General features: G+C 42.7%; 1 protein-coding gene across 3 annotated transcripts, besides 4 other annotated features; it reads right to left on the bottom strand.

Annotated features, from left to right (window-relative positions):
- Positions 1-854: 854 nt before the first annotated feature.
- ZNF347 (zinc finger protein 347) lies at positions 855-24,973 on the bottom strand. 3 transcript variants are annotated; one of them, NM_032584.3, is made up of 5 exons: positions 24,929-24,973; positions 19,653-19,713; positions 15,161-15,287; positions 14,601-14,729; positions 855-8,476 (listed from the first exon to the last, which is right to left on the bottom strand). In NM_032584.3, exons 2-5 carry the CDS (start codon positions 19,665-19,667, stop codon positions 6,228-6,230), a joined length of 2,520 nt encoding a protein of 839 aa, NP_115973.2. In that variant the 5' UTR covers positions 19,668-19,713; positions 24,929-24,973; the 3' UTR covers positions 855-6,227. The 3 variants fall into 3 exon arrangements, with proteins under 3 accessions (NP_115973.2, NP_001166146.1, NP_001166145.1); NM_001172675.2 differs by having other exon boundaries at positions 14,601-14,732; NM_001172674.2 differs by having other exon boundaries at positions 14,601-14,732; positions 24,600-24,973.
- Positions 13,543-13,743: a silencer, noted in NCBI's record as "peak3548 fragment used in MPRA reporter construct". NCBI's record gives its function as "represses an SCP1 promoter by STARR-seq MPRAs in K562 erythroleukemia cells {active_cell/tissue: K562}" and the evidence as "EXISTENCE:reporter gene assay evidence [ECO:0000049][PMID:32103011]".
- Positions 13,763-13,963: a silencer, noted in NCBI's record as "peak3549 fragment used in MPRA reporter construct". NCBI's record gives its function as "represses an SCP1 promoter by STARR-seq MPRAs in K562 erythroleukemia cells {active_cell/tissue: K562}" and the evidence as "EXISTENCE:reporter gene assay evidence [ECO:0000049][PMID:32103011]".
- Positions 24,876-25,170: an enhancer, noted in NCBI's record as "tiled region #171; HepG2 Activating DNase unmatched - State 4:PromP, and K562 Activating DNase unmatched - State 1:Tss". NCBI's record gives its function as "activates a minimal TATA promoter and a strong SV40 promoter by Sharpr-MPRA in HepG2 and K562 cells {active_cell/tissue: HepG2 | K562}" and the evidence as "EXISTENCE:reporter gene assay evidence [ECO:0000049][PMID:27701403]".
- Positions 24,906-25,155: a silencer, noted in NCBI's record as "silent region_11004". NCBI's record gives its function as "represses an Ori minimal core promoter by ATAC-STARR-seq in GM12878 lymphoblastoid cells {active_cell/tissue: GM12878}" and the evidence as "EXISTENCE:reporter gene assay evidence [ECO:0000049][PMID:35858748]".

The raw sequence follows: 25,532 nt of genomic DNA on the forward strand, positions 1-25,532 counted from the left end.
TACAGTACTGAATAATAGAAAATATTTGCCTACCATATATCTGACATAAAACTGGTATGTGGAATGTATAAAGAATCCTAGAACGACTTAAAAAAAAAGCAAAATAATCAAATTAGAAAATGGATAGAACTATGAAGAGACATTTCACTGAAGCAGATATACTGAGATAAATGGGCACATAAAAAGATTTCCAACATCACCATCCATCAAATCTCAGACCTCAGCATATTCTGCTTTCTCCATGTGAACCCCTGGATGCTGTCAGAGATCATGAGAAACACAGGAGCTTCTACTGAACAGTCCAGTTGATGTGTATTAGCAACCTGTAATTGTTTTTGGAAACGAACAATGGAAACACAGATACAAAAATATTCTCAGCTCAAGAAATATGCACTTTGTCATTATTAGTGATTTTTTTTTTTTTTTGAGACAGAGTCTTGTTCTGTCACCCAGGCTGGAGTGCGGTGGTGTGATCTCAGCTTACTGTAACCTCTACCTCCCAGGCTCAAGCGATTCTCCTGCCTCAGCCTCTTGAGTAGCTTCAACCACACGCACGCGCCACCACACCCAGCTATTTTTTGTATTTTTAGTAGAGATGGGTTTTCACCATGTTGGCCAGGCTGGTCTCCAATTCCTGACCTCAGGAGATCCACCCCCCTTGGCCTCCCAAAGTGCTGGGATTACAGGGGTGAGCTACAGCGCCTGGCCACCACTAGAACTAACACCTCAGGTACTGGATGCCTCCTTCGAAAGATTGGATAATCGTTCTTACAGGATTATGTGGTAATGAGTGTCTCTGTCATTCATTTAGGTAAGATGCATACGCAATAGTGATCTATAAAATATAGACTTAATTGATCTATAAAAATATAGATTTAATACAAAGTTACCACAATCACAATGATATATGAAGATAAACCATTTAAAAATTACAAGAGATACTAACAAAATAGGTATAGATGGTGAGTAAAGGACAAAAATAACTAGCATTGTTACTGTAGCATCATCATTAAAAGCTTTGTCTTTGCAACCAGACAACATGGATTCAAATCTCGATTCTGCCTCTTACTGAAATGTGACAAGATGAGTCTTTTAAAGCAGAATATGCTGAGATCTGAGATTTGATGGATGGTGATGTTGGAAATCTTTTTATGTGCCTATTTATCTCAGTATAACTGCTTCAGTGAAATGTCTCTTCATAGTTCTACCCATTTTCTAAATATATATATATATATATATATATATATATATATATATATAGAGAGAGAGAGAGAGAGAGAGAGAGAGAAAGAGAGAGAGAGAGAGAGAGAGAGATGGAGTCCCGCTCTGTCACTGAGACTGGAGTGCAATGGTGGGAACTCGGCTAACTGCAACATCCGCCTCCCAGGCTCAAGCAATTCTCCTGCCTCAGCCTCCCGAATAGCTGGGATTACAGGCGCCCGCCATCACACCCAGCTAATTTTTGTATTTTTAGTAGAGACGGGGTTTCACCATGTTGATCAGGCTGGTCTCGAATTCCTGACCTCAGGTGATCCCCCCGCCTCGGCCTCCCAAAGTGCTGGGATTACAGGCATGAGCCACTGTGCCCAGCCTAATTTGATTATTTTGCTTATCTGTCCTAAGTTTCCTCACCTCTGAAATGAGAATATCATTAATACTTATTTCAGGAGCTGATGATTCAGTTGTTACACATAAAGCATTAATAACTGTGATTCTTACTCTAAATGTGATTGATATAAAATATATATGCAAAGATAAATCACTTATTAAAGAATATATATCAGTTTTTTAAAATGGAAACAAATCTAAGGGGAGTATATTAAATGGCAGCTGTCATTGCAAAAGTTGCACAAATATCATGTTTTGCTGTAAGATCCTCTGGCTCAGAAAAGAAATACCAGCCACAGTAGGAAGTTGAATTGCCTCCAGGGATTCAATGAGAGAAATTATCTCCTTTGCATAAATGATAATTAATATCTTGGGGACTCTCTTATTAACTGTATTTTCATTTACTTCTCCAGATGCTGGTTAACCTCCACACGCTTGATTTTCAAGCATCTGATCTTTGATAACTTCCATATTAAGAGACTTCATTTCACCATCTAGTATCCCTGTACTTTAATTGAACTAAAGATTTACAAGGACACTCCATTTTCCTATTTACAGAGAACCTAGTCTGTACCTGCCATTGTTTTACATACATTTTCATGTCACAAAATTTTATTTCTAAACAACACCCTCATTTATGTATTTTCTAAGTGTTCACTGGAGTAACACAGAGAAGAAATGCAGTAAACATATAATTTGGATTAAAATGTATGGAAGGAAAAAATCCTTAAAGTAAAAATCATATACAAAAACAAAAAGTCATTTTACTACTATTGGCTCATGGCTGTAATCCTAGCACTTTGGGAAGCTGAGGCAGGAGGAATGCTTGAGGCCAAGAGTTCAAGACCAACCTGGCCAACATAGCGAGACCCCACGTCTAAAAAGAAAAAGAAAAAAAAAAAGAAAAGAAGCTATGGAGAATATGTTACACAATACCATAAACTGAACAAGACATGAATATAACACAGCCTTTGGAAAAATGCCCTTTGGCTAAAATTGCTTGATCATATTATGTAATAAACTTTTCCACAAATTCATTTGCATTGAACTACTGTAAAAATATTTTAGGCAATTTAAACAGCATTTCACAAATATTTTCAAGAATGACGTTGTGTAATGGGCCCTATGGGTTCAGCAGAAAGGAAGAGTATTATCTACTATTATGAAGAAAGCGGAGGTCTTCCCTAACAAAGAAGTTAGAAATTTCTTTTGTTTTTTTGAGAGTCTCACTCTATTGCCCAGGCTGGAGTGCAGTGGTGAGATCTCAGCTCACTGCAACCTCCGTCTCCCGGGTTCAAGTGATTCTCCTGCCTCAGCCTCCCTGGTAGCTAGGACTACAGGAGTGCGCCACCACACCTGGCTAATTTTTGTATTTTTAGTAGAGATGGGGTTTCACCATGTTGGCCAGGCTCGTCTTGAGCTCCTGACCTAAGGTGATCCACCTGCCTCGGGCTCCCAAAGTGCTGGGATTACAGGCATGAGCCTGTAATTTCTGGCCATGCCTGGCCAGAAATCAGAAGTTGCAAGAGTAAATATTCAGTGTTGTACTACAGTCAGTTTCCATTTTGTGATTTTTGTCTTATACCACCATTTATACCTCTGCACTCCCTCTTCTTATTCTGCCCATCTGGCCAAGCTGATAATGTCCGTGTTCCCTCCTTTGGCACTAGATGGAAGTTCAAATCACGTGTGGGATCCTCACCCCAACCCACCCTTTTATTAAAGGTTATTACCATAACACCCCAAGCAAGTTATTTATCCCTGCTCTCTCAAGCCATTTTGGACCAGTTTGGGAAGTCAATCCTGCTTCTCACAGAAAGCCTCATTATGCAATACACATTTCCCTAAAACTTCATTGTTCAGCATCCTCATTTTCCATATCTAAACCAAACTGTAAATGGAGTTCAATACACTTCCTGTGGAGAGGTGACAAATTAACATTACCAAAAACATGATAAGGCTAAATTTATGAAACTTCTAGTTTACCTACAAAAACAAAATTTCCATTATATATGTTCATTTTTAAGAGGAAACTCATGAATATTAGTCTTGTCAAATTATGTGAGCATAGCATTCTTAGTGTTATTTTTGTTATTCTGCACTATTTATAATTTCATAATTTTTTTTTTTGAGACGGAGTCTCACTTTCTCGCCCAGGCTGGAGTGCAGTGGCAATCTCGGCTCACTGCAACCTCCACCTCCTGGGTTCAAGTGATTCTCCTGCCTCAGCCTCCCGAGTAGCTGGGATTACAGGCGCATGCCACCACATCCAACCAATATATATATATTTGGTATTTTTTAGTAGAGATGGGGTTTCACTGTGTTGGCCAGGGTGGTCTCGATTTTCTGACCCCATGATCCACCCGCCTTGGCCTCCCTAAGTGCTGGGATTACAGGTGTGAGCCACCACACCCAGCCAATATTTTTCATACAATTGTTTTTTTTGAGACAGGGTCTCGCTCTGTCACCCAGGCTGGAGTGCAATGGCGCGATCTTGGCTCACTGCAACCTCTGCCTCCAGGCTCAAGTGATCCACCTGCCTCAGTCTCCCTGAGGAGCTGGGACTACAGGCATGAGCCACCCTGCCTGGGTAATATTTCTATTTTTTTTGTAGAGACAGGGTTTTGCCATGTTGTCCTGGCTGGTTCAAACTCCTGGACTCAAGTGACCCCCCTGCCTTGGGCTCTCAAAGTGCTAGGATTACAGGCATGAACCACCACACCCAGCCCATACACTTTCTATATTTGTATTTTCACTTCATGTAAATAAAGATGCATGCCATAGTTATTTAGCACACAAGCATGTAAAAATATAATATGGTATATATTCACCAACACTGTGGCAGCTTTCAGAGTGTAAGAGTATGAAAACTGCACTTTCTATGGGATTTTCATTATATCCATATAAATATTCTAAGGCAGAGTGTAGAGAGAATAATTCAAGTGCAGAGTATGATTACATTTTCCCAAAATTGTATGTTGATTCCACAAAGAAAAAAAAAATTGTTCTACATCCTCCAACCTAAAAGACTGAGTGTATTGTTATTATCTGCTATGAAGTATCCTACTGAGGTAGGATAAAATGATGTTGGTACAAAGAATGTGATTTGTTTATAGTTATAAGAAAACGTTGAATTTTTTTTAGCAAAACATTATGTCTGTGACACATTCTTAATAAAACTGTAGCAAAATGTAATTCCAGCAATTAGTGTGAATTCTACTAAAAACAAAACAAAACAAAAAAAACCATGGTATTCTGGTTTTTCTGACCAAGCTCTCCACTCTAATAACTGTTACCTCTTCAATTTCAAAAATAAGCCTATTTTTCATCAATCTCTGCTATAAAACAGCTATTGCCATTCAGTAGAGAAAGTGGCAACCATTTCCCCTGCACTATTCCCATCACATAATCAGTCACTAATAACTTATTACTCTCCTCTCATAAAAATTCCAGTGTCCTGAGGTCTTGGCCTGCTCAATGCAGGTAGAGCCTTACTTCCCTAAAACCCATGGTGTCTTTCTCTCAGAAAAGCACCCTGAACACAATCAGTATGATGATTGATATCATAGTTTTACATTATTTTCTGCCCCAAAACCATGGTCTCTCAATTGAGAGAATATTTAATTTTACAAGGCAGAGTCCTCCTTCTTCAATAAACATGGATAAAAATGATCCTCATGTAATGAAGTAAGCCTTTCCATACTGTGGTTCTTTCCCAGATAGGCACCACGAAAGGTGCTTAAGGATGCAAAATAGCCACAGATCCATAGTTCAGGTTGAAAGTCACAAACAGTAGCCTTTTTGAGAAACCTCAAACAATGGAATAAAAGATTTTATAACCTGAAGGTAAGTAGCCATTTCCAAATGTCCTTTGACCTTTGAAATATATAATGTCTTAAGTTTTACCATATTGGAACGTGTAATTATTGTGCAGTTTATCATTTTAAAAGTGAATCAAAGAACTAGAGACTGAGTCACTCTTTGTATGAATCCTCACCTACAGTTACAGTCTTAGAGTAAGAGCTTCAGGATGCTCTTACACATTACATTTGTGTGGTTCCATCAAATACGTAGATTTTAATGCCTGCAAAGCTGTGAGGCCTGAATAAAGCCTCTGTCACACACAGTACATTTATGTGATTTCTCATTATTATGGACTCTTGGATGTCTATTAATACTTGAACTCATGAGGAGTTTGCCACAGTCATTGCATTTTTTTTTTTTCCTTTAAGATGGAGTTTTGCTCTTTTTGCCCAGGATGGAGTGCATTGGCACGATCTTGGCTCACTGCAACCTCCGCCTCCTGGGTTCAAGTGATTCTCCTGCCTCAGCCTCCTATATAGCTGGGATTACAGGCGCACGCCACCAGGCCTAGCTAATTGTGTACTTTTAGTAGAAATGGGGTTTCGCCATGTTGGTCAGGCTGGTCTTGAACTCCTGACCTCAGGTGATCCACCTGCCTCGGACTCCCAAAGTGTTGGGATTACAGGCATGAGCCACTGCACCCAGCCAGTCATTGCATTTTCAAGGAATCTCTCAGGCATAAATTCTCTGACGTTGTCAAAGGAATGAATTCTAACTGCAAAAGTTACCACCTTCATTTGTAAGGTTTCTCTCCACTATGAATTCTGTGATGGCTTGCAAGGTTTGAACTCTGACTTTAGAACTTTCCACACGTTACATTTGTAAGGTTTCCCACCAGTATGGATTGTCTGATGGGTAGTTAGGCTTGAACAGATACTAAAGGGTTTCCCACACTCATATGGTTTCTCTCCGGTATGAATTCTCTGATGCCTTGCAAGTTTTGAAGTTTGACTAAAGGCTTTGCCACACTCATTACACTTGTAAGGTTTCTCTCCAGTATGAATTCCCCGATGTCTTGCAAGGTGTGAATTCTGAGTGAAGACCTTCCCACACTCATTGCATTTGTAAGGTTTTTTTCCAGTATGGATTGCCTGATGGGTAGTTAGGCTTGAACGGACACTAAAGGCTTTCCCACACTGATTACACTCATATGGTTTCTCTCCAGTATGAACTCTCTGATGCCTTGCAAGCTTTGATGTTTGACTAAAGGCTTTGCCACATTCATTACACTGGTAAGGTTTACCTCCAGTATGAACTCTCCGATGTCTTGCAAGGTGTGAATTCTGAGTGAAGACCTTGCCACACTCATTACATTTGTAAGGTTTTTCACCAGTATGGATGACCTGATGGGTAGTTAGGTTTGAATGTTCACTAAAGGCTTTGCCATACTCATTATACTTGTAAGGTTTCTCTCCAGTATGAATTCGCTGATGCCTTGAAAGGTATGAATTATGCCTAAAGACCTTGCCACATTCATTACATTTATAAGGTTTCTCTCCAGTATGAATTCCCCGATGTCTTGCAAGGTGTGAATTCTGAGTGAAGACCTTGCCACACTCATTACATTTGTAAGGTTTTTCTCCAGTATGGATGACCTGATGGGTAGTTAGGCTTGAATACACACTGAAGGCTTTGCCGCACTCATTACACATATAAGGCTTCACTCCAGTATGAATTCTTTGATGATTTGCAAGGTGTGAATTTTGAGTGAAGACCTTGCCACATTCATTACATTTGTAAGGCTTTTCTCCAGTATGGATGACCTGATGGGTAGTTAGGTTTGAATGTGCTCTAAAGGCTTTGCCACACTCATTACACTTATAAGGTTTCTCTCCAGTATGAATTAGCTGATGCCTTGCAAGGTGTGAATTACGCCTAAAGACCTTGCCGCATTCATGACATTTGTAAGGCTTTTCTCCGGTGTGAATTACCAGATGAATAGCTAGGCTTGAACGAACACCAAAGGCTTTGCCGCACTCATTACACTTGTAAGGTTTCTCTCCAGTGTGAATTCTCCAGTGATTTGTAAGGTGTGAATTTTGAGTGAAGACCTTGCCACATTCATTACATTTGTAAGGTTTTTCTCCACTGTGGGTTGCCTGATGGATAGCTAAGCTTGAACGAGCTCTAAAGGCTTTCCCACACTCATTACACTTGTAAGGTTTCTCTCCAGTATGAATTCCTCGATGTCTTACAAGGTGTGAATTCTGAGTGAAGACCTTGCCACATTCGTTACATTTATAAGGTTTCTCTCCAGTGTGAATTTTCTGATGTTGTGAGAGTTGTGAATTTCGACTAAAGACCTTACCACACTCATTACATTTGTAACGTTTTTCGCCAGTATGGATCACCTGATGGGTAGTTAGGTTTGAACGTGTTCTAAAGGCTTTGCCACACTCATAACATTTGTAAGGTTTCTCTTTAGTATGACTTCTCTGATGACTTGCAAGGTGTGAATTTTGAGGAAAGACCATGCCACATCCATTAGATTTGTAAGGGCTTCCCCAATTATTTGCTTTTTGCCCCTGTGTGAGTAATAAAGAAGAGATAAAATCTTTGAGATATTTCTTAGAAATGTGGGTTTTGACATTATAAGGCATTTGTTGAGGTGGTGAAACTGAGGAATTATTGTTGAAAGACTTCTCAACCTGATTACATTCATAAATTTTCCCTTCATATTGAAAAAGCTGCAGTTCAGGCAGATGTGACTGAAGGCTTAATCCAAGCTGATTTTTAATAAGCTTGTTTCTTGCATCTCTTTTATCATGTTCATCTCTTCCATGAGTGAGATTGCCTTCTTGGGTCAAAAGCACTCCTTTGTAATTTCCTTCAGCATCTCTGCATTGATACTCAAGGCCATGTGTATTTTTCTGGACTTCCCTGAAGGAACATCCTTCAATGTCTTGGCTTTCCTGTCTTTCCAACATCACTGTTTGGAATACTTCTCCTGTATTACTCTTCCCTTTGTGTAGTAAATCTTTCATTACAAATTCGGAAGAGAGAGCTACAAGATATAAAGATCCATAGGTTTCCAATTAATTGTAGTACGTAAACAAGTATTTTACACCGAAAAACAATATTACACCGAAAAACAATATTAAACCAAAAGCAATTCTTATATTAAACAGATTTATGAAACTTCAGAACAATAATATTCAATTTTTAGGAACACAAAGGAAAGAGGATTGTTTAATAAAGTTGATTCCATGTAATTCAAATTAATAGTATGGAAGCCTAGTTCCCAACCTACAATACTGTAGCCAGCAAAGCAATCGTTCAGTCATAAAGGAGAGAAAGTCTTCCCCAGACAAACAAAGCTAAGGGAATTTACCATGATCAGACCTGTTTTACAAGAAATGATAAAGGGAGTTCTTCAAATCCAAAGAAAATGACACGATGTAACTGTTACACTAATATTAATATCATAATCATGGTGTGCAAACCATTTGTATATTTACTAAGAGGGCTAAAAGATAAAACTATTAAAAATAAGCACAACAGTTTGTTAAGTGATAGGCAGTACACAACATAAATTGCGACATAAAAAATTCAAAATGCAGGGTGAGAAGGGAACGAACATGCACAGAGGTTTTAGTTTCTTTTTTTGCAATCAAAGTTAGTTGATATTGATTTGAGATAAATTGTTAAAAGCTATAGGATGTTTTTATATTTATTTATTTATTTTTTATTATACTTTAAGTTTTAGGGTACATGTGCACAATGTGCAGGTTAGTTACATATGTATATATGTGCCATGTTGGTGTGCTGCACCCATTAACTCGTCATTTAACATTAGGTATATCTCCTAATGCTATCCCTCCCCCCTCCCCCCACCCCACAACAGTCCCCAGAGTGTGATGTTCCCCTTCCTGTGTCCATGTGTTCTCATTGTTCAATTCCCACCTGTGAGTGAGAACATGCGGTGTTTGGTTTTTTGTCCTTGCGATAGTTTGCTGAGAATGATGGTTTCCAGCTTCATCCATGTCCCTAAAAAGGACATGAACTCATCATTTTTTATGGCTGCATAGTATTCCATGGTGTATATGTGCCACGTTTTCTTAATCCAGTCTATCATTGTTGGACATTTGGGTTGGTTCCAAGTCTTTGCCATTGTGAATAGTGCCACAATAAACATACGTGTGCATGTGTCTTTATAGCAGCATGATTTATAATCCTTTGGGTATATACCCAGTAATGGGATTGCTGGGTCAAGTGGTATTTCTAGTTCTAGATCCCTGAGGAATCGCCACACTGACTTCCACAATGGTTGAACTAGTTTACAGTCCCACCAACAGTGTAAAAGTGTTCCTATTTCTCCACATCCTCTCCAGCACCTGTTGTTTCCTGACTTTTTAATGATCGCCATTCTAACTGGTGTGAGACGTAAGCCTTATTTTATGGTCACCACAAAGTAAAAGCCTGTAATAGACATATTAATAATAAAAAGCAATGAATTAAAACATACTGCCGTTTTGTTACTTCTTTTCTAATTGTTTTCTAACTTCTCTCTTGCTTTCTTTCTTACTGTCTTCCTTTGTGTTTAAGTGATTTCTCTGGTAGTATAAGTCCTTACCTATCAATAATAACATTAAATAGAAATGGACTAAATTTTCCAATTACAAGAGAGAGGCCTGCTGAATGGATTATAAAACATACAGCTAACTATATGTTGCCTACAACAAACTCACTTCACCTATAAGGATACATGTAGACAAAAAGTGAGGGGATGGAAAAAGATATTTCATGGAACTAGAAATCAAAAAAGAGCAGTAGTAGGTATACTTAGATAAAATAGACTTTAAGTCAATAAGTGTAAAAAGAGACAAAGTCAGTATATAATGAGAAAAGGATCAACTTAGCAAAAGGACATAATAAATAAGTACACACCCAAATATGTAAAGCTAATGTTAATAAATCTAAAGGGAGAGACAGGTAGCAATACAATAATATTAGGGGACTTCAAAACACAATTTTTGGTAATGAATAGGTCATCCAGGCAGAAAACCAATAAAAAAAAAATTAGAGTTAAAATATACTGCAGACTAAATGGACCTAAAAAAAGACTTTTTAAATTTTTTTTCTATTTTAAACAGATGGGATCTCCCTATGTTGCCCAGGCTGTGGTCCATTGCCTAGTCACAGGTGAGTTCACAGTGCACTGCAGCCTTGAACTTCTGGCCTTAAGCATTCCTCTCTCCTCAGCCTCCCAAGTAGCTAAAATTACAGGTATGTTCCATGCCCTAACAGACGTTTACAGACCATTTTATCCAGCTGTTGCAAAATACATATTCTTCTCATCAGCACATGGATTATGCTTCAGGATAGATTATATGTTAAGACACCAAACAAGTCTCAATAAATTCAAAAAAGTCAAAATTGTATCTAGTATCTTTTCTGACCACAATAAAATAACACTAGAAACCAACAAGAAGAGCCTCAGAAGATACACAAACATGGCTGGGCGTGATGGCTCACACCTGTAATCCCAGCACTTAGGGAGGCCAAAGTTGGGCAGATCACCTGGCGTCAGGAGTTCAAGACCAGCCTGGCCAACATGGTGAAACCCTGTTTCTACTAAAAACACAAAAATTAGCCAGGCGTGGTGGCACACGCCTATAATCCTAGCTACTCGGGAGGCTGAGGCAGGAGAATTGCTTGATCCCAGGAGGTGGAGGATGCAGTGAGCCAAGATTGTGCCATGCACTCCAGCCTGGGTGACAGAGCAAGAGTCTGTCTAGAAAAAAAAAAAAAAAAGAAGATACAAAAACACATGGAAATTAGACAACATATTCCTGAACAGCCACTGAGTTAATGAAGAAATTAAGAAGGAAATAAAACATTTCTTTTTTTTTTTTTTTGAGATAGGGTCTTGCTCTGTCACCTACACTGGAGTGCAATGGTGTGATCTCAGCCCACTGCAACCTCCACTTCCTGGGCTCAAGTGATCCACCCACCTCAGCCCCCCAAGTAGCAGAGACCACAGGCACACACCACCATGCCCAGCTAATTTTTGTATATTTTACCAAGACAGAGTTTGGACATGTTGCTCAGGCAGGTCTCAAACTCCTGAGCTCAAGCAATCCGCCTGCCTCAGCCTCCTAAGGTGCTGGGATTCCAGGCATGAGCCACCATGCCTGGCTAAAAATTTCCTGAAACAAATTAAAATGCAAAACAGCACAATCTATAGGATACAGAAAAAGCAGCAAAAAGAGGAAAGTTTGTAGCAATAAACACCTATATCAAAAAAACAGTAAGTCAACAAATAAAACACCTAATGATACAACTCAAGGAACTAGAAAAGCAAGAACAAACCAAACCCAAAAGTAGTAGAGGGAAAGGAATAATAAAGATCACAGTAGAACTAACCAAAATAAAGACTAAAAAAAAATCTAAGATCAATAAAATGAAAAGTAGGATTAAAAAAAAATTTTTTTTTTTTTGAGATGGAGTTTTGCTCTTGTTGCCTGGGCTGGAATGCAGTGGCATGATACCAGCTCACCATAACCTCTGCCTCCCAAGTTCGAGAGATTCCCCTGCCTCAGCCTCCCGAGTAGCTGGGATTACAGGCATGTGCCCCCACGCCCGGCTAATTTTGTATTTTTAGTAGAGATGGGGTTTCTCCATGTTGGTCAGGCCGGTCTTGAATTCCCAACCTCAGGTGGTCCACCCACCTTAGTCTCCCAAAGTGCTGGGATTACAGGTGTGAGCCACCGTGCCCGGCCTAAAAAAATTTTTTTTTAGAGATGGGGTCTATCTCTCTCACACAGGCTGGAGTGCAGTGGCCCAGTCATAACTCACTGCAGCCTTGAACTCCTGGGTTTAACTGATCCTCCTCCCTCAGCCTCCCAAGTAGCTGGGACTACAGAAACGCACTACCATGCTTGGCTAATTTTCGTTTTATTTTTAGAGATGGGGTCTCTTTCTATGTTGCCCAGGCTGGTTTGAACTCCCCGCCTCAAGCAATTCTCCTTTCTCAGTCTCCCAAGTTCCTGGGATTACAGGCATGAGGCACCATGCCTAGCTTGAAAAGTAGGTTTTTCTAAAAGATAAGCAACATCAACAAACTTTTAGCTAAACTGAAATAAAAGGTGGGGGGAGGTACACCCAAATTAATAAAATCAGAGACAAAACAGAAAACATTAGAACTGATACCATAGATACACAAAGGACCATTAGGGACAATTATGAACAACTACATACAAATTTAAAAACCTAGAAGAAAGGGATACATTTCTGGACACATACAACCTATCAAGATTGAAACATGAAGAAATAGAAAACCTGAAGACACTAATAACAAAATTGAAGCTGAAAAAAAAAAAATTTCATGTAGAAGAAAAGCCCAGGATTGAATGGATTCACTGCTGAATTATACCAAACACTTGAAGAAGAACTAATACTGGCTAGGCATGTTAGCTCACGCCTGTAATCCCAACAGTTTGGGAGGCTAAGATGGGAGGACTGCTTGATGCCAGAAGTTTGAGAGCAGCCTGGGAAACACAGCAAGACCTCGGCTCTACTAAAAAATAAAAAAGGATTTGGCCAGGCACGGTGGCTCACGCCTGTAATCCCAGCACTTTGGGTGGTTGAGGCAGGTGGATCACCTGAGGTAAGGAGTTCAAGACCAGCCTGGCCAACATGGTGAAACCCCAACTCTACTAAAAATACAAAAATCAGCCAAGTGTGGTGGCACACGCCTGTAATCCCAGCTACTTGGGAGGCAGAGGCAGGAGAATCATTTGAACCTGGGAGGCAGAGGTTGCAGTGAGCCAAGATTACGCCACTGCATTCCAGCCTGGACAAGAGAACGAGACTGCATCTCAAAAACAAACAAACAAACAAACAAAAAAACACAATTAGTTGGGCGTGGTAGTGTGTGCCTGTAACCCCAGCTACTGGGGAGGATGTGGAGGGAGGGTCAGTTGAGCCCAAGAGTCTGAGTTTGCAGTAAGCTATGATTGTGCCACTGAACTCCAGTCTGGGTGAGATAGAGAGAGAGAGACTATCTCAAATAATAATAATAATAATAATAAAGAAAGAAAAGAAAAAATAAAGAATACTAATTCTACTCAAACCATTTCAAAAATTGAAGGCAGCACATATTTCCAAACTCATTTTATCAGACCAGCATTACCCTGATACCAAAAAGCAGACAAGGACACCACAACAAAAAGAAAACTATAGGCCACTACCCCTGATGAATATACATGCAAAAATCCTTGACAAAATAGAATTCAACAACACATTAAAAAGACATTCACCATGATCAAGTGGGATCTATTCCAGGAATGCAAGGATAGTTTAATACACACAAATCAATTAATGTGATTCATCACATCAACAGAATCAAAGACAAGAAGCATATTATCATTTCAATAGATGCTGGGAAATGACTCAATAAAATCATTATCTCTTCCTAATAAAAAGTCTCAACAACTTGGGTACAGAAAAAACATACCTAAGCATGATAAAAGCCATATATGACAAATCCAGCAGGAATGTACTAAATAAGAAAAAACTGAAAGCCTTTCTGCTAAGATCTGAAAGACAAGGATGTCCACTTTCACTACTTCTATTCAACATAGCATTGATGTTCTAGCCAAAGCAATTAGGCAAGAGAAAGAAATAAAAAGCATACAGATTGAAAAGGAAGAAGTCAAAATATACTTCTTTGCAGATGACATGATTTTATATTTAGAAAAACCTAACAACTCCACTAAAACACTCTTAAAATTTAGCTAACTATATAGAATTTGGATCTGTAAGACTGAGAACTGGGCATCAGATAGAATCAACTACAGAAGGAAACACCAAAGGAGATGAAATAACCCTTTTGTAACAGCCCTCCCTGTGCCACACGGAGTCAAGGAACCAGAGTTCTCAGAAGCTAGAAAACAGTGTTGTCCATCATGATAAAGACTTTGCCTTTGTCTGAGCTGCAGCACCACTGGAAGGTGAAAGGATAAACTAGTACAAGTCTAAAGGATAGACAAAAGGGGGCAAATAAAGATTTCTGTTCTGAGGTCACAGAATTCAAACTTGTTTTCCCACAGAACTCTCAGATTTGCATAGAGTTTCCCAAACACTATTTAATAAACGGCATTTTCTCTACCCATCTGAACTCTTACCTGTGATCACAGCTTTGATCCATTCCCATCCATCTGGGTTTCCTGCTATTTGTACTTGGCTCTCCAAAGTGAAAGGCTCCTTCCCTTGCTCCAACATAGAGATAATACTGAGGTCAAAACAAGAGATTCCTGCTTATGAAAAGAAAGGAAAACAATGGGCTGTAGATTTTCCAGAGTCCCAGTCCTATGTTTACATGAGGAGGGAGGACTTTACAGCTGTATCTAAAAAAACACTTCAAAAATTCATCCACTAAATGCTTCTTTATAAATTGTTAGGAAACACTATAATATGCAAATATATAGCTCTCATCCCAAAACCACTGAATCAAAGCATGGGGATAGAAAACAGGGAATTGGATATTTTAAAAGTCCTGAAACCCTCCAGTGACATCAGGAAGAGGAAAATTAAAATCCAGTTTCCACATTATGGAGATTTTCATTTTTCAGTCAACACAGCTTCAGTCTCAGCCAAGCAATGCATGAGCTCCCAGGAGAGCCACATGGAAAATGAAAAGATACACAGGGGCAGATCCTGACTTCTGGAAGAAAGTCATCCTCACCCAGGGAGGCCAGGTTCCTATAATTCTCCAACATCACGTCCCTGTACAAAGTCCTCTGAGCGGGGTCCAGGCATGTCCACTCCTCCTGAGAGAATTCTATAGCCACATCCCTGAATGTCACCTGTCCCTAAAATGAAAAACACATCCACCAGGGGGATATAAGGAAAAGCTCCAATCTTCACATAAAATGAGAAGACAGAATAGATTAAACTGGAGTAAGTGGGCCGATATCCAAGTTGTGATATAATAAAATATACATATGGTCTTCATCCCCCTTTCCTGACATACATCTCACTTGGAATCTCTGGAGTGATAAGTGCCTTTGTAAGCTAATGAGATGACTGGTGGCTGGAGGCCCCAAGATAGTTTCAGAATGGCGGGGTGGTCACCAGAAAGACCAAGGCTGGATTACAGAGTTGGGACTTCGAGCCCCATCCCCCAACTTACCCTGAGGGGATGGGGGCTGAAGGCTCGGCTGATCACCAGTAGCCAAAGATGTAAGCAATCGTGCCCACTTAATGAAGCCCCCATAATAACCCGAAAGGACAGGGCCTGAACAAGCTTCAGGATAGGGAAACACACGGAGGCTCTGAGGACGCCCCCACCGACCCCCACCAAAGACAGCACTCAGCCTCCCAAGTAGTTGGGATTACAGGCATGCACCACCACGCCATGCTCCTTCTCCCATACCTTACCCAATAGACTGCTTACATCTGGCTGTTCATCTGTATACTCTGTAATATCCTATATAATAAATGGGTCAATATAAATAAAGTGTTTCCCTGATTTCTCTGAGCCATTCTAGCAAATTAATCAAACCTGAGGAGGGGGTCATGGGAATTCATGATGTATAAGCCAGTCAGTGAGAAGCAGAGACCATCTGTGTTTGCAACTGGCATTGAAGTGGGCACACTCTTGTTGGATTGAGCCCTCAACCTGTGGGATCTGATGCTATGTCCAGGTAGACAGTGTCAGAATTGAACTGAATAGGAGGTCACTCAGCTGGTGTCCAGTGCAGAATTGCTCCCTTGGTGTGTGTGGGAAAACCCAGGACATCTGGGATCACAGATGTGTTTTCCGTTGTGAGAGTACAGTAGGAGAAACTGGGTCTGTTTTCACCACATCCTCACACACACAGGTATTTTTGGGCAGAATGTTTCCTTAATTCTGTCTTCTTATACTCTTCTATAAGAGGTTATGATAGTCTTTAAATCAGTGTTGATTTCTCAGTTTTGTAGACAATACAAAAAATACACAAATATACAAATAAAAAACCAACACCGGGTTATCTTTATTGAAGTGCTATATATTATGTCTAACACACCAAGTGATATTCAGTATTTAGATGATCTAGAGCATGAGTGATGTCTTACGAGATGAAAATGTGTACAGTGACTTTAAAGAAAGGTCAGAATCTAAAAACTGTGATCATCGCAATAACAATGACAGATGTTTCTGAGCACTTCCCAAGTGCAAGGCATTATTCTATTTATTTATTTACTTACTTACTTATTTTTTTGAGACAGAGTCGCTCTATCACCCAGGCTGGAGTGCAGTGGCATGATCTCAGTTCACTGCAACCTCTGCCTCCTGGGTTGAAGCGATTCTCCGGCCTCAGCCTCCCAAGTAGCTGGAATTACAAGCACCCACCACCACACCCGGCTAATTTTTGTATTTTTAGTAGAGATGGGGTTTCACCATGTTGACCAGGCTAGTCTCAAACTCCTGACCTCAGATGATCCACCCGCCTTGGCCTCCTAAAGTGCTGGGATTACAGGCGCAAGCCACTGTGCTCAGTCTGGCATTATTCTAAATAAATGTCCTGCATGTACTAACTTGTATATGAATATGATAGCCCATGAGAGAAAGATCTGTTCCCATCTTACTAGCAGATAAATGTATATGACAGACACTCTAAGAAACTTGCGTCAAGACAAAGAGCTAAAATGTCAGAGCAAGCATCTGAATCCAGGTGTCTGGGAATAAGAATTAAACCTAAAGAATCAAATAGTTGGCCAGGCGTGGTGGCTCATGCCTATAATCCCAGCACTTTGGAAGGTCGAGGCAGGCAGATCACGAGGTCAGGAGATCAAGACCATCCTGGCTAACATGGTGAAACTCCGTCTCTACTAAAAAAATACAAAAAAATTAGCCAGGCATGGTGGCGGGCACCTGTAGTCTCAGCTACTCAGGAGGCTGAGGCAGGAGAATGGCATGAACCCAGGAGGCGGAGCTTGCAGTGAACCGAGACTGTGCCACTGCACTCCAGCCTGGATGACAGAGCAAGACTGTCTAAAAAAAAAAAAAAAAAAAAAAATCAAATAGTTAAGTAAAAGAACATGAAAAGGATCTAAATGAGCAAAGTTGAAACAAGTTCATGAATAACAACATGGAACTTCATAAAAGGTAATTACATATATACACACATCTATTTATGCCCATAATATGTAACTATTCTTACTATTAAATCATTAATGTGATAGCTGAGAACAAATTTAAGGACACAGAAAATATTTAAGATACAATTTGAATTGCTAAAAAACACAAAACTTATTTAAAATCATGATGTGTGGGCTGGGTGCAGTGGCTCACACCTGTAATCCCAGCACTTCGGGAGGCCGAGGAGGGCGGATCACGAGGTCAGGAGTTCGAGACCAGCCTGACCAACATGGTGAAACACCATCTCTACTAAAAATACAGAAATTAGCCGGGTGTGGTGGTGGACATCTGTAATTCCAGCTACTCAGGAGGGTGAGGCAGGAGAATCGCTTGAACCCGGGAGGCAGAGATTGCAGTGAGCCGAGATTGCACCACTGCACTCCAGCCTGGGTGACAGAGTGAGACTCTGTCTCAAAAAAAAAAAAAAAAAAATCATGATGTGTGCTTAATAAAAAAACACGCACTCACGTCACATATACACAGTTTAGTAATAACAACAGTGAAAAGGTAAAACATCCACTCTGTCCTCATTCAGAGAAGGCTCCAATAAAGATGTAGAATGAGCTATACATCTTTCCTAACATGAAAACATGTAAATTTTCAAAATTTGCAGGCTAAAATGTCACAACAAAACATTCACTGAAGGGCCGGGCATGGTGGCTCACGCCTGTAATCCCAGCGTTTTGGGAGGCCAAGGTGGGCTGATCACTTCAGGTCAAAAGTTTGGGACCAGCCTGGCCAACATGGTGAAACCTTGTCTCTACTAAAAATATAAAAACTAGCTGGGCATGGTGGCATGCAACTGTAGTCCCAGCTACTTTGGAGGCTAAGGCGAAAGAATTGCTTGAATCCGGGAGGTAGAGGTTGCAGTGAGCCGAGATTGCACCACTCCAGCCTGGGCAACAGAGTGAGACTCTGTCTCAAAATAAATAAATACAATAAATAGAATATTTAATAATTGGTAAAACAGGCCGGGCGCAGTGGCTCACGCCTGTAATCCCAGCACTTTGGGAGGCCGAGGCAGGTGGATCACGAGGTCAGGAGTTCGAGACCATCCTGGCTAACACAGTGAAACCCCGTCTCTATTAAAAATACAAAAAATTAGCCGGGCATGGTGGCGGGCGCCTGTAGTCCCAGTTACTTGGGAGGCTGAGGCAGGAGAATGGCGTGAAAGCAGGAGGCGGAGCTTGCATTGGGCTGAGATCATGCCACTGCACTCCAGCCTGGGCGACAGAGCAAGACTCCGTCTCAAAAAAAATAAAATAAAAATAATAATTGGCAAAACAAGAACGTGGTTCTACCCTCTCTAATGGGAAAGAAGTTCTGCTCCTATAACCGAACAAAATAATAACCACTCTCACCTAGCACCAGTTGCACAAGGGTCCCTGCAGAAACACCAGTCTCCATTGTATGGGTTTTCTGAAAATAGTTCAATGATTCTCCTGCATTTTCCATTTAGGTTGATTTCATGTATTAAAATAGATGATGGGATGAAAGAACCCTCTGTCACTGATGTCTGTCAGTCTAAAATTCCCATTCCATTCCCAGTCATTAATAAGAGTTTGGGGTTAGAAACACAGTGACTCACTTGGTGAGCTTCAAATGTAATGTAAATGAGCCAGAAAAATTTCCCCTTATTAGCCTTATTTTACATAATTTAGCAAGTATTTGTGCACATTAACACGTGACTTCCACGTGCAGCTGCTCTAATCCTGCTCCACAGAGAGCTGACAGTGCATCCAGATGTGGCCCCTGAACAATCCCTGCTGCCCAACAGCACTGACACCACAGGACCCTCACCCCGTCTCCATCCATGTCTGGGTGTGAGCCCTTCCCAGGACCATGCCCAGTGCAGCCTCTTCCCAAGCTCATGTCACTGGGTCACGAGAGATGGAATCTAAGTGAGATGAGAGGGACTGAGGGAAGGCACGCGTAAGTGCGAGCAAACCTGTCAGGCAGGACGCTTCAGACTCAGAGAAGATTCCCAACTTCAAAGAATGACATTTCAAGAAGAAATAAGAGACAGAACAATCCACTGATAATATTACCTTACCTGGGTGAGAGCCATGCCTGACTTGTCTTTCTTTCCTCTTCCTCTTCTTCAAGGGTTCTTCCTTAGGTAACAGGAAAGTGCCTTTAGAAGTCAATATTGAATATCCAAAATGTGCTGTTTATTGCTCAGAATCAACACATCCCCTTCCTATGCCACAATCACACACACACACAGGGAAGACCTCACCCTGTGGAAAGATGGTCTCAGCTGCCCACTGCACCAGGGCAATGCAGGGACAAGAAGCTCCTATGGGAAGATCAATAAGTGAGTTTCTGACCCCTTTCTTCAGAACCCACTCTCCTCCTGGAGAAGCCCACACACACGCTGCAGCAATTGGGAGCTGGGCTGGACTGAGCTCCCCCATTCAGGGCACAGACCAAGCCCTGACCAAACCCCATGCAGAGAACAGCCTCCCTCACCTCTCTGTGGATTGCAGGCCAATCTCAGGCCTCAGAAACAAAAGGTAGAGGCTGAACGTGGTGGCTCACACTATAATCCTAGCACTTTGGGAGGCTGAGGCAGAAAGATCAGTTGAGGCCAGGAGTTCAAGACCAGCCTAAACAACATAGTGAGACCCCATTTCTCTTAAAAAAAAAAAGTAATAAATTTAGCCAGGCACGGTCACTCACGTCTTGTAACCTCAGCACTTTGGGAGGCCTAGATGCTGGATCTAGAGTTCACAGGAGAGGCCTGCAGGTGACATGAAGCTGTGCAGGTGGGGTTGAAAGCCATGAGCTGAGTTGATAAGGAAAGGCAATGAGTGCGGACAGAGAAAAAAGTGGCTGGAGGACTAAGCCCACGTTCAGAGAACAGAAAGTTCTGGAGACACAAGAAGAGGAAAGCATAATGTGATTAGGGAGGCAACAAGAAAATTACAACAAATAGATGTGTAAAGCTTAACGGGATGTCCTAAAAGCCAAGAAAATAGAAGAGAAAGTGAGCAACTGTGCCACATGCTACTGATAGGAATGGAAAGATGACAGGAAATTAAACATTGAATTTCAAATGGATCCATCACTGGTAAATGAAAAAGAAAGGATCAGTGGAATGTTGGGTATGAGAGCTTGATTCAAGCAAGAGTTCAAGCAAGGACTGAAGGCAAGAATTGAACATAAAGTAAAAAAAAAAAAAATTGTAGTGTATTGTGCTCTTAAACGGAGCATAGAAGAGTACTTACTACAGACTGAAAGGTAGTTTAGAGTTTTGTTTTGTTTTTTTTTTTGAGATGAAGTCTCACTCTTGTCACCCAGGCTGGAGTGCAATGTTGCGATCTCGGCTCACCGTAACCTCCGCCTCCCAGGTTCAAGCGATTCTCCTGCCTCAACCTCCAGAGTAGCTGGGATCACAGGCGCGTGCCACTATGCCTGGCTAATTTTTGTATTTTTAGTAGAGACAGTGTTTCACCATGTTGGCCAGGCTGGTCTCGAACTCCTGACCTCAAGGGATCCACCTGCCTTGGCCTCTCAAAGTGCTGGGATTACAGCCGTCAGCCACCGTGCCTGGCCAATTTAGAGTATTTTTTGTTTTAAAGATGGAGCGTAGAAGAAAAAAAGACTTTATTCTGTGTGTGTGTGTGTGTGTGTGTGTGTGTGTGTGTGTGTGTTTGTTTTTTGTTTTTGAGACAGGGTCTCACTCTGTTGCCCAGGCTAGAGTGTGACAGCATGAACATGGCTTACTGCAGCCTCAAGCTCTCGTGTTCAAGCGATTCTCTCACCTCAGCCTTGCAAGTAGCTGGGAGCGCAGGTGCAAGCCACCACATCCAGCTTATTTTTTTCTATTTTTCGTAGAGACGGAGTCTTGCTATGTTGCCCAGGCTGGTCTCGAACTCCTGGACTCAAGCAATCCTCCCACCTTGGCCTCTGAAAGTGTTGTGATTACAGGTGTAAGCCGCTGTGCCCAGCCCTGTGTACGTGTCTTAATGGAGAACACCACTCCCTAGGTACAGGGATGAATTCCCTTGAAGTTAAAATTTTGAAAGCTTTACAGATTGTGAAGGAAAAAAAAAGTTAAAATTGATGGCACGCATATTGTCCTGAGACTGTGAGTGAGGCTGGTACATGGTACACAATTGCAGGGCCAGCAGCAGCCAGAAGCAGGAACAGGCCATTCCCAGTCACTACTGAGTAGAGATCACAGGTCCTGACAGGTGGGTGGGCCACTTGGAGGTCTTTTCCTTTAGTCTTTGAGATAGGAAAAAACCCAACTCTACATTCTGCTCTCACACTAAACACAGAATACTTCACCTCTAGTCACCAAAATGTGTGTGTGGCTTTTCCCACAATGACCAGGGGACTCCCAGGGGACTCCCAGCTCGGGGGGGGGGGGGGGTTAGGCGGGGGTCCTACAATTTCATTCAACTCTGATATTATCTACAAGACAGCATGGGCCGGGCACAGTGGCTCATGCCTGTAGTCCCAGCACTTTGGGAGGCCAAGGCAGGAGGATCACTTGAGGCCAGGAGTTAGAGACCAGCATGGCCAACATGGCAAAACCTCGTCTCTACTAAAAATACAAAAATTAGCTGGATGTGGTGGTGCACACCTGTAATCCCAGCTACTTGGGAGGCTGAGGCAGGCAGGAGAATCGCTTGAACTCGGGAGGCAGAGGCTGCCTTGAGCCAAGATTGCGCCACTGCACTCCAGCCTGGACAACAGAGCGAGACTGTTTCAAAAAGAAAAAAAAAAAAAGACTGCATGACGAGGTGCTACAGGTTCAGAGCTCAGTCTAAAACTGCCCCTCACTTCAGACACAGTATGCCAGTGGTAACTGTCACTTATACTTTTGAGTGACCTGATAAATACTGTGGTTCTCTTAACCCCTCCTCGGCTTTGATTAACTTTCTAGGACAGCTCTTCCTTCTGACTGTTCATCTGTATCTTCTGTAATATCCTTCATAACAAATGTGTAAACTAAGTGAAGTGTTTTCCCTGAGTTCTTTGAGCCGCCCTCACAAATTAATAGAACCTGAGGTGGTGGGGAGGGGGATGTCAAGGGAATCCCCAGTGTATAGCTGGTCGCTCAGAAGTTCAGGTACCAACGGGAGACTTACAACTGGCACCTGATGCGGGGGCAATTTCGTGGAACTGAGCCTCAATCAGTGGGATCTGATGCTAACTCCAGGTAGAGAGTTTCAGAATTGAGTTAAACTATACGACACTCAGTTAGTGTCTGATAGAGAACGGGTTGTTGGTGGGAGAAATCCGCACACATTTTCGTGAGTGGAGGCGAGACACTGTGTAGAATGTGCCCTGTTGTATTGAGTGTGACAGGAAAGAAAATCAAAGGAAAAATATTTTTTCCTCTTAGTTCATACACTCGCCCACACCCTACCCTATTCCAGGAAAAGGGAAGTGGGTGGACTCAAAACTAAATGAGCGAAGTCACTGCCCTCTGGTTTGAATAGTGATTGCAAATGAAGCTATACCCTAATACTAATAATTGTCAAATGCACGTGTTACGCATTTTACATAAAGGAGTTTCTTCCATTCTCATTTGCAACTGCATAATTTAAGTAAACGTATTTTAAATGTGTTGCATTATTTTAAACCCAGAAACCAATGTCACAATGTCATCATCACATCTAATCAACGCACCACTCACCTGGACTCAGGGTCCCTCTCTTGCTTCCATACTGTGTGTTTCCCTCCCTCATCCTCTACATAGCTCTCATTCTCACATTAGCTTATTTTTTATTTTCTGTGTTTTTCCCCTGGTTCTTTGCGCGTCGTTCTGAGCCCCTCTCATCTCCTGCTATTTCTCCCCTTCTTCCTCCGCTTGCACCTGTTCTGTCCCATTCTGGGGCCTTGTTTCAACTCTGATTCCTCTTTCTCCCCAGTCTTTTCATTGTCCCCAGTCTCCATATATTTCTGCCTCTTTCTTCTCCCATCTCTGCTCCCTCTGTTGAATCTCCTCTTCCCTTCTACACCTCTTGCCCCACTCTCTGGCACCCCCAGATCCCAGGCCTCCCCCTGCTGTGGTTCTCCTTCTGCTCTCCTCGTCACCGGCTGTCCCCTCTTGCTGTCCCAGCACCACGCTGCTTGTCTGCCCTGGCTCCAAATCCCTCCTCCTCTCCCGGACTCTGTCTGAGGAGCCTCCCACTTTCTGGCCCTCTCCCTACCTTGCTGTCCTTCATGTCTCTGGACATCGAGCTTTTCTCTACATTTCCCCAGTTGCTTTTCTCCTTCTGCCTTCTCAGCTCCTTCTCTTACCATCTGCAAATCCCTCGCCCATCCTCTACTTTGCCATCTGGTTACGGGTTTCCCTCACTCTTTCCTCTCAGTTTTTCTACTTCTCTCTCTGTCTCTGCCCCTTTCTCTACCTGCTAATCCCCTTGGTCCACACATTCACAGGAAGGTTTGGACTAAGACGCCTGCATCTTGGAGGAGCGCATTTTCCAGGGGCTGGAGCTGGGCAGGCAAGAACACCGGGTGTCACAGGACAGGCCCCGGGCACCTCCCCAGCGCGGGCTCAGGAGAAGCGGGGACTGCGAAGGGGAGGCCTGGGGAGCAGCAGGGCCCGGCACGAGGAGGAGGGAGGTGGCGGGGCGACGGCGCCTTAGAAGAGGGGTGGGGTCTGCAGGATGCCAGGACCAGGCAGAGGACGCGGCCTCGCCGGTACCGGGGCTGAGGAGCTGCGCTCCAGGGGCCGACGAGGGCGAGGCTGGGAGGCACCCAGGGCGGGAATCCACCTCGCGGGCGAGGACTTTAAAAAGCCCGGGGCGGGAGGAGGGGTCAGGAAAGGGTTTTAAGCGGGAGGAAGACGCGAAAGGCCGGGGACAGGGAGAAGCCTCAGAGCTACTTCAACCCAAAGAGAAGCGACTCCGAACCCACACCGCGAGTCAGCTGGGGTGGAGGGCGCGGTGCGGGGATCTTAAGGTCTGTAGCTGCCGGGCGCAGTGGCTCACGCTTGTAACCCCAGCACTTTGGGAGGCCGAGGCGGGCGGATTACCTGAGGTCAGGAGTTCGAGATCAGCCTGGGCAACACGGTGAAACCCCGTCTCTACTAAAAATACAAAATTAGCCGGGCGTGGTGGCACATGCCTGTAATCCCAGCTACTCGGGAGGCTGAGGCAGGAGAATCGCTTGAACCTGGGAGGCGGAGGATGCGGTGAGCCGAAATCGCGCCATTGCACTCCAGCCTGGACAACAAGAGTAAATCTCCGTCTCACCAAAAAAAAAAAAAAAGAAAAAAAAAAAGGTCTGTAGCGAGCCCGGGAACTGGCTGCGGAAACGGGGCACGGCGGTTCGCAAGTTTAATCCATACTGAGGGACACTCACGCTCGGCGGCGTCACCCGCACCCAACACGATCCGCTTCCGGAACTGCAGAAAACTGCGCGTGCGCGGAAAAGAGCCCGGGCACTCTGGGGGCGGGGCCTGGGGAGAGGCGGGGTCTGCGGACGAAACGCTGGGGCGGAGCTGGGGCGGGGTCTGCGCTTCCCTCAGCCTGCCTAGCCCGCAGTCTCATTTTTCCCGGTTTAGAAACGCTGGAGTGTTCACTATGTCCCCGGGAGCACCGTTCCAATTTGAAGCAGTTTTAAGGTGAAAGAATAGACTTACGTGGACCACTTATGATAGAAACCAAAATGATTTCCTCTTACCAAGTTGAAAACGGTTTATGTTAAAATTGTTTGCCGGCGGGTTGGACCCAGTCCTGCTAGGGAGTCTGCTGCAGCTCAGGAACGGGGATCTGGGAATCGGGGATCTCGGTCTGGGAACTGGGATCTTAGTGGAGGATCCACGAGGCACGGCGATTGGATCCAGCAATTCCTGCAATTAAAATGTATTTAATTTAACTAAAATGTCTGGAAATTATCTCTGAGGATGATTCAAAGTAGAATGGGAAATGCAGCATCCTACCTGGACGGATATGCAATTTAATGC

Source organism: Homo sapiens, chromosome 19, assembly GCF_000001405.40.
Source record: "Homo sapiens chromosome 19, GRCh38.p14 Primary Assembly".
NCBI classification, from domain to species: Eukaryota; Metazoa; Chordata; class Mammalia; order Primates; family Hominidae; genus Homo; species Homo sapiens.